This window comes from Homo sapiens, chromosome 2 (genome assembly GCF_000001405.40).
Source record: "Homo sapiens chromosome 2, GRCh38.p14 Primary Assembly".
NCBI lineage: Eukaryota > Metazoa > Chordata > Mammalia > Primates > Hominidae > Homo > Homo sapiens.
The window spans coordinates 176,048,538-176,058,376 of NC_000002.12; the positions used below are offsets into that span (position 1 = coordinate 176,048,538).

General features: G+C 41.2%; 1 long non-coding RNA gene across 1 annotated transcript; it reads left to right on the forward strand.

Annotated features, from left to right (window-relative positions):
- The first annotated feature begins 3,072 nt into the window (after positions 1-3,072).
- LOC107985830 (uncharacterized) lies at positions 3,073-7,364 on the forward strand. The gene is made up of 3 exons (XR_001739224.1): positions 3,073-3,269; positions 4,759-4,895; positions 5,610-7,364. It is a non-coding gene; the product is annotated as an uncharacterized LOC107985830 (long non-coding RNA).
- Positions 7,365-9,839: the final 2,475 nt, after the last annotated feature.

Consider the following 9,839-nt stretch of genomic DNA (forward strand, 5'->3'; position numbering starts at 1 on the left):
TATAACCATGTTCTTGGCAGCATTATTCACAACAACAAAAAGGTGGAAACACCAAGTGTTCATAAGTGGATGAATGGCTAAACAAAATATGGTATGTATATAAAATGGAATATTGTTTATACATAAAAAGGAATGAAATTCAGATATATGCTACAATAGGGATGAACCTTGAAGACATTATGCTAAGTTGAATCAGCCAGACTCAAAAGGATGAATATTTTAAGATTGCACTTACATAAAATACCTAGAATCTAGAATAGGCAAATTCACAGAGGCAGAAAGTAGATTAGAGGTGATATGGTTTTGCTCTGTAACCCCACCCAAATCTCATTTCGAATTGCAATCTCCATGCATTGAGGGAGGGAGGTGATTGGATCATGGGGGCGGTTTCACCCATGCTGTTCTCGTGGTAGTGAGTGAGTTCGCATGAAATCTGATGGTTTCATTTTTTTTTTTTTTTTTTTTTGAGACAGAGTTTCGCTCCTGTTGCCCAGGCTGGAGTGCAATGGTGTGATCTTGGCTCACTGCAACCTCTGCCTCCTGGGTTCAAGCCATTCTCCTTCCTCAGCCTCCCGAGTAGCTGGGATTACAGCCATGCGCTACCACTCCCAGGTAATTTTGTATTTTTAGTAGAGACAGAGTTTCTCCATGTTGGTCAGGCTGGTCTCCAGCTCCCAACCTCAGGTGATCCGCCCACCTCGACCTCCCAAAGTGCTGAGATTACAGGCGTGAGCCACCGCACCCAGCCAAGATCTGATGGCTTTACAAGTGTTTGACAGTTCCTCCTACACATGCTCTTCTCTCACCAGCTACCATGTAAGATGTGCCTGCTTCTTCTTCCACCATGATTGTAAGTTTTCTGAGGCCTTCTCCACCAGGCAAAACTGTGAGCCAATCAAACCTCTTTTGTTTATAAATTACCCAGTCTCAGATAGTGTCTTTATATCAGTGTGAAAATGGACTAATACAATAGGTTACCAGGGGCTTAGGGGAAGGGAAATAGGAAGTTATTGCTTAATGGTTGCAGGTTTTCTGTGATTAAAAAGGTAAATTTTATGTAACGAATATTTTACCAAACAGTAAACAAAAATACAAGAAAAAGTTTGCAATTTACGTAATTTTTTTTTTTTAAAGAAGTCCTCGGCTGGGCGCGGTGGCTCACGCCTGTAATCCCAGCACTTTGGGAGGCCGAGGCAGGCAGATCACAAGGTCAGGAGATTGAGACTATCCTGGCTAACAGGGTGAAACCCCGTCTCTACTAAATTTTTTTGTACTAAAAGTACAAAAAATTAGCCGGGCGTGGTGGCGGGCGCCTGTAGTTCCAGCTACTCGGGAGGCTGAGGCAGGAGAATGGCATGAACCCGGGAGGCGGAGCTTGCAGTAAGCGGAGATCGCGCCACTGCACTCCAGCCTGGGCGACAGAGCGAGACTCCGTCTCAAAAAAAAAAAAAAAAAAAAAAAGAAAGAAGTCCTTATACTCTGAGACCAACACGCAGGAGAGGCCACATGTAATTGCTCTGGTTGACAGTCCTAGCTGATCTTGACCTTCCAGCCATCCACGCACAGGTGCCAGACATCTGAGCCCTACCCTGCCCCTCAAAATCATGAGACATAATAAAATAGTTGCTGTTTTAAGCTGCTAGGTTTCAGGATAATCTGTCATACAGCAATAAATAACCAGAATACGCTCTCTCTACTTTGTGTAAATGGATTGGCCTGGTGGCTCCTAAATATCTAGAAGAGTGGTATGGTTAAGGAGTGCTTGGACAGGCTTTGGGAAAATTTGAGAAATATTTGGATGGTAGGCAGCACGGGTCTCCCTTACCTAAGGCAGAGGCAACAACAAACTGGCTTAAACATTGTATCCTAGGTTGCTGGTAAACATACTTGACATACAAAGGCCAATTCAGTCATCAATTACAAAGTTTACAAATGGCATTTGGTTTTTATTCAAAATGAAATTACTTTTATGAAGTCCCACAGGAAAAATGGAATGTTGTAAAAAGTAAGATTATTCCCTTCACTAAAATGACAAGGAAGAAAGTGATGCTGTTTTCCCACCCCCCACCCCCAATACTATTTGGTGATATTTTATAAGGGTAAGTATGATAGCTGCTTCTAATCTTTTGTCCTAAAATTGGAAGGCGAGCAGGCTCCAGGGTGCCTGTGAACTGGGGGCTCCTCCTCAGTGCCCCAGTGGAGAGCGCTGTCCATCTCAAGTCAAGATGAATAGCACCATAGAAAGTGTGTTAGAAGAGGTGTTAGGACGCCTCAGTTCTTTGTTCATTTCCACCCACCACCTAACATGGGCAGAACACACGACCTCTCTGGAAGTCAGCTTCCCCATCCGCAAAAAGGGAATAAAGCAGTTTTTCTACTTTAGTTGCACACTGGAATCAGCAACCTAAGATATGATGCTTAAAATCTTGAAGCCCAGGCTGCACACCAAAATAATTATGTCAGAATTTTGTAAAACGAGGGCCTCAGGATTTTTTAAAATTCCCCAATACCTTCCAATACAAAGTCAAAGTTGGGAACCACTGAAATGGAAGAATGAGTTACAGAAAAATATTTACAGTTCCTATTCAGCTCTAAAAATTATATAATCTGATACTCTCAAAAATTACACTTATTCAGTAAATATTTATCACATACTATGTTCCAGGCACTCTGTTTGAAACTAGAAATACCAAGAGAAGTTCAGTATTCTAGATGAGGGCAGTGGGATAGACCACATAGAAATACAGGCAGTATTCAGTCTCAATTCAAGGGAAGAAATGGAGTAGTCAGTTCTCCTGGGAGGAGGGAGGAAACAAAGAGGAGGTAAACTGAGTTAAGTCCTCAAGGATGATTTGGCACTCAACAATGGTAAGGCTCTCCATTTTAGCGCCATCTTCTTGGAAGCCTCTCCGCTGTGAGAGCCAAGAAGCGAATGTATAGGCTGAAGCGCAAAAGAAGAAAGATGAGACTGAGGTCCAACTAAACTCCCAATTTGTGCACCCGTGGAGGTGCATTTCACAGGAACAGAAACATGGGACGCCAGAGGCTGGGGATGCTGGTACAAGTTGTTGGACTGCATGCTACTCTCTAGAGATTGTCTCTCAACTGACCTAGAACTTCCATAGCCATCTGATCACCAAGACCGCCTCTGAGAGGAAAGTTCTGAGAGTCTCACCTTGCTCGCATCAAAACAGTTCCTATTTATCCTTTTTCCTGGATCTGTGATATTCTGGACTGTTTCTGTGTTCAGTTGTGGCCAAGTGTTACAGGTATACAGTAAATCACCTCTTCTGTTGTCTTAGGTGGAAAACAAAAATAAAAACAAAACAAAAAACAATGGTAAGACAGAGGTAGTGGAGGGTAAAGGAAGAACACTTCCTGTTAGCCAGTATCCTGGTGTCTAACATTTACATACGAAGTTGTTGATGTAGGCCAGGCATGGTGGCTCATGCCTGTAATCTCAGAACTTCGGGAGGCTGAGGCAAAAGGATGGCTTGAGCCCAGGAGTTGGAGGCTACAGTGAGCTATGATCGCACACTGCATTCCAGCCTGGGCAACATAGCAAGACCCTTTCTCCAAAAAAAAAAATTATATTAAATAAAAAACTGATGTATCAGGTGGGAACCTCCTAATACATGTATTAAGTGGGAACCTCCATTTCTATGACACCAGCCAACCTCTTTCCTAAAAGAGCTTAACTTATGATGAAATGGCACAAAGGCAGTATGATAATGCAACTAATAATAACTTGACCTTTTTTTTTCTTAGAGACAGGGTCTGACACTGTTACCCAGGCTGGAGTGCAGTGGTGCAATCTCAGCTCACTGCAACTTCTGTCTCCTAGGTTCAAGCAATTCTCCCACCTCAGTCTCCCAAGTAGCTGGGACTACAGGTGCTCACTACCATGCCCAGCTAATTTTTGTATTTTTTGTAGAGATGGGATTTTGCCATGTTGCCCAGGCTGGTCTTGAATTCCTGGGCTCAAGTGATCCGCCCACCTTGGCCTTCCAAAATCCTGGGGTTACAGGCGTGAGCCACTGTGCCCAGCCAACTCGACCATTTATAAGGATACTACCATGGGCCTGCATCGTACTATGCACATGATATTTGAGTTCGGTAATTTCTGATCACACAAATAAGCTTCCTTGAAATATTAAAGGGTTGTTACGTGGCAGACCTGTTGAACTTGTTCTATGTGGTCCTGGGTTAGAACTAGGATCAGTGAGCCATAGAAAGGCAATTTCAGCTCAACTAAGGGAATAGCTACCAAACTGGCTATACTATGATGGACTGAATTACCTCTGGACAAAGTAAGTTTCCCACTTCTTCTTTTTTTTTTTTTTGAGACTGAGTTTCACTCTTGTTGCCCAGGCTGGAGTGCAATGGCACAATCTTGGCTCACTGCAACCTCCACCTCCTGGATTCAAGTGAGTCTCCTGCCTCAGCCTCTTGAGTAGCTGGGATTACAGGAGCCCGCCACCACGACTGGCTAATTTTTTTGTATTTTTAGTAGAGACGGGGTTTTAGCATGTTAGGCTATTCTCGAACTCTTGACCTCAGGTGATCTGCCCGCCTCAGCCTCCCAAATTTCTGGGATTACAGGTGTGAGCCACCATCCCTGGCCAGTTTCCTTCTTCATACTTTACTATGTAAAAAACAATTTCGACCCCACACTACTTAGAGACCAAGTACAAGAGGCAAAGGCAAAATTTAAAGAATACCGATGCTTCAAGAGTTTGTTATTATTTTCACCCACAGATATACCTCTATTTTCCACAAGAACAGCAAGCAAAAGAGAAGACAGGGAGGCACTCAGAGGATGGGGATTCTCCAAAGGTGAAATGCAAGCTTAAGCAGTTTAAATGTGTTGATTTCAAATGGGATATGAGCAGCAAGTAAGTAAGGTGTTGCTCAGAAAACTCTAAGACTAACATGGCACTTGAGGCTACTCTGATGGGGCATGGCTTATATTAGGCTCACAGTCCCCTCTTCTGGCTATAGAGCTAGACTGGTGTCCAGACTGCTGGTTCCAGCTGACAGGTTCTTGCCAGGGTGGGGTCTTGTCTCTGGCCATCCACCTGTGGAGTCTACCAATCCATTTGCTTTTTACTCATAGCCCTTTGCTTTGACAGATGGTTTTAACTTCAACTTACAAATAATTTTCTCTCTGGTTACTATCTCAGTCTCCAACTTATGCTTAACATCTTAGGTAATAGTTTGCTGTTTATCATCTTAAGCAACTTACAGATTTAAACTTACACGGTGTGTTTGTGTGTGCATCTGTATGGAAACACATATGTGTTCTAATACAAATAATTTCCTGCTTCATCATTTTCACACATGACATCCTGAACCAGAGAAAAGCAGAAAAGAGAAAGCCTCTAGTAAACTGAAGATTCACCTTATTCTATCAGTATTACAGCATACTTGAAGAATTCCATAGCCCTACAGCTTGTAGAAATGTTGAAGGACCTCCAAGTGTCTGGTGGGTTGTTGCATTAGATTACCTGTAATTGTTATGCCAAGTCTAAGAATCTGTGACTGTCTGACATTTAACCTGAATTGAAATCAGCCTTGAAATAGGACTGTCTCCCATCTCTGTCTTTCAGCTGCAAATTATAAATCATCCTGGTTAGCCTACTGAGATCAGTGAGGAGAAGAGAATGGGAGGATCAGAACACAAATGAAGTCACTGATTACTTGGTTGCAGCCAAGATGCAAAAAGGAATAAGATGTGCTTCTCTGCTCAGAAAATTCATAGTCCATTGGGAGAATGGGGTCTTCCTGGATCATTTCAGAACAACGTGGAAAACAATGCAATTAAAGAATGTGTGTACATAGTTTCATAGAACCACAGACAAGGGCACCCAGCCTATCTGGGGTGGGTGCAGAATACAGAATTTGAAAATTATCCAGTGGAAGTGATTACTAAGATGACTCAAAAACAGGACTGACGCAGGCATGAACAGGGAGATATGAGCATTCTGGATGGTATTGCATATGGAGGGAGAAATTCTACTTTGGAACACTGACGTCAAGGCCAGTTGGGTGAGAGATGGGGTTGGGGCAGTCATCAAGTGCCAGACCACACGAGGATGAAATGCCTTGTTAAGGCATCTGGCCTTTACCTTGTTGGCAGAAGGAAACCATTGCTGAGTCTTAAATAGTAGAATGACATGGTCAGGTATGCCTTTCAGATAACTCTCTGACATGGCCTTGTAGAAAATTGATTGGAGAAGACAAGAAGATGACAGGAGGGAATGAGCCATAGAAAGGCAGATTTCCTTGGAAGAAAGAAATCTTCTTCCAAAGAAGACTTCCATAGGGTACTGTTACAGTAACCCAGACAGGAGATGTTAAGGTCTGAACCTGGGTATTAGTAGTTAGGGAGGAAATAAAATTGAGAAATATTACACTATGTAATTAGAGGGCACACCAAATGGTTGAGTGGGAGGTGTCAAAGAGAGGTGGATCAGAGTTGTCTTAGTTCAGCTACTATAACAAATTTCCAAAGACTGAATGGCTTAAAAAATAATTTATGTCTCACAATTCTGGAGGACAGGAAGTCCAAGGTCAAGGCTCCAGCAGATTTGGTCTCCTGTGAGGGCCTGCTTCCTGGTTTGCAAATTGTTTTGTGGCTATCTTCTCATTGTATCTTCACATAGTGGAGGGCAGACAGAGAGATCTCCTGCCACCTTCTCTTTTTAAAGGGTACTAATCCCATTATGAGGTCCCCACTGTCATGACCACATCTAACGCTAATTGCTTATCAAAGGCCCTACCTTCAAACACCATTATATTGGGGGTTAGGATTTCAACATATCAGTTTGGAGAAGACACAAATATTTCGTGCATAACAAGGGACAATTTTCATGTATGTACAAAGGTCTTCCTTGGTAAGACCTTTCCTGACCACTCCACTAAAACTACAAATCATCCTTACCAGCATCCCCTATCCCTTCTCTTCCATCTTTCTCTAGTGCTTATATAATTTCATTATTAGCTATCTGTCTTCACTACAATATGTGAGATTCTTTATGGCAGGGATTTTGTCTCTTTTGTTCACTGCTGCATCACAATACCTGCAGCAGTGCCTGGCACCTACTATGTACTCAATAAGTATCTGCTCAGTGAATGAATGCCTGATGGTGGTGCTGAGAAAAACTGAGAAAAAAATGCAGGAAGAAGAGCAAGTTTAGAGAAAATGATGCTGGGTTCACTTTTGCACTTTCTTTAGCACTCCAGGGAAAAATAAAGCTATGCAGAGACTCAGAATGTTGGATATGACAGAGGCCCTAGAGACCATTTGTTTTAGTCCATTTATGTTGCTATAAAGGAATACCTGAGGCTGGGTAATTTATAAAGAAAAGAGATTTCTTTGGCTCACAGTTCTGCAGGCTGTACAGGAAGCATGGCTCCAGCATCTGCTTCTGGTGAGGGTCTCAGGCTAATTTCACTCATGTCAGAAGGCAAAGGGAAAGCGGTGTGTGCAGAGCTCACATGGCAAGAGGAAGCAAGAGAGAAAGAGGGAGGGAAGGTGCCAGGCTCTTTTTGACAACCAGCTCTCATGGAAACGAATAGAGCAAGAACTGACTCATTCCCACCAGGACAGCACCAAGTAATTCATGAGGAATCCCCCACTGACCCAAACACCTCCCATTAGGTCTTACCTCCAACATTAGGGATCACATTTCAATATAAGACTTGGAGGGGTCAAATATCCAAACCATTGCACCATTCTATACAGTTCCTTCATTTGGGAAAAAAAGAAACTGAGGTCCAGAAAACTGAAGTGTCATGCCCATGGCAAGGCAAACACAGCTGAGCCAAGCATCCCACCCCTGTTCCCAGCTTCAGTTTAGTGTTTATGCCTCTTGTTTCTGGTAATATGAGAGATCAATAAAAATCACTTGCCTTTGACCTTCAGCTAGAATTTAACTAAACTATTAAGTGCCTGTTTTTTCAGAGCCCACTTAACCAATTCATTCAGGAAAGAAAATTTTTTGAGCCTGAGCCAGATATAGAAAGATCTAGTCATAGAGGTCTTCTCTGCCTTGGAATCTTGCCAGGCTGAGGCTGCCTTAGCAGCTGTGCTAAAGCAAATAGACAGCTCTGCCTGTGAGCCTCACACCAGGTAAGTAGTTGCCTGAATCCATCCGTGATTTTATTTTTATTTGATATTTTTAAATTGAGGTATAATTGTCACACCATGAAATGTATAGATCTTGTCAATACAGGTCAATGAATTTTGACAAACATAAACACCCATGTAACCCCTACCCCAATAAAGATCCTTCCTGCCCTTCCCAAAGCCCCTTTCAGAGGCAACCACTTTTCTGATTTCTATCACCATTGATTAGTTTTGCCAGTTCAAGAACGTCATGTAAAAGGAAAACTTTTCCAGATTCGTACATCTGGCTCCTTTTACTTGGCCTCATGTCTATGAGATTCAACCAAGTTGGTGCTTGTATCATTAGTTTTTTCTTCACATTGCTGAGTAGTATTCATGGGCTTAGTATAGCACAATTTGTTTATTCATTCTCCTGGATATTTAAGCTGTTTCTAATTTCTGGCTATTGTGAGTAAAGGTGCTATAAACAATCTTGTTTAAATATATTTAAGGACATATGTTTTCATTTTCCTTGGATAAATGTCTAGAAGTGACATGGTTGGGTCTTAGGATAGGTATATGTTTAACTTCATAAAGAAATGCCTAACAGTTTTCCAAGGTAGTATATGATTTTTACACGCCAACCAGCAACATATAAGATTTCCAATTGCTTCATAGCCTCACCAATATAGGTGTCATCAAGCCTCTTCATTTTAACCCCATGAGAAGTCAAACAAACACAGTACACTTTTTTTTGTAACTGCTAACACTTTGCAAACTTCTATTATGGAGAATTTCATACACTTACTTAAGCATTAGATGCATTCATCATCTAGCTTTACGAATTATCAACTTATGGCCAATCTGGTTTCATTTCTATACCCTTTATCCCCTCCTCCCATATTATTTAGAAGCAAATCCCTGACATCATATCATTCATCTGTAAGTATCTCAGTATGTATCTCTGAAATATAAGGACAATTTGTAAACCTAACTAAAATGCCATTGCATTTGATATAAAAAACAATAATGCTTTAATACCACTAAATATTCAGTCAACATGCAAATTTCTAATTGTCTCAACAAATTCATAAATTTTTTGTGTAGCTTGTCTGCTAAAATCAGTATTCAAATTAGTATACGTACTGCAATCAGTTGATATGTCTTACAAGTATCTTTTAATTCAGAGGTTCCTCCTCTTCCTGTTTTATTCTTCATAATGTTTTTGTTAAATAAATTGGATTGTTTGTCCTCTAAATTTACCTATAGATTGGATTTTGCTAATGCATTATTTAACACATTCTTCCGTCCTCTGTATTTTCTGTAAATTGTTACTTCATCTAGGAACTTAACCACATTCAGGTTCAAATTTTTGGCAAAACTACCTAATCCTTGGTATTATGTTCTTCTATCTGGAGGCACATGGTGTCTGCTGTCTCTCTTTTTCACATTAGCACTGTTTTTTATCTCATCATTAGATGATTAACTTATTTTAGGTTGCAAAATTGTGACATTCCAATGCTACTCTGTTTTCATTTATATGTTGGGATACTTCCATAAAGAGAAATTTTCCTCATCTACTAATTGATTACTCCATGGTACAGTTCATATACCAAAGGCAGGTCAGCAAAGGAAACATCAACAAGATGAAAAGAGTACCTACAGAATGGGATGAAATATTTGCAAACCATATGTCTAATAATGGGTTAATTTCCAAAATATACATGGA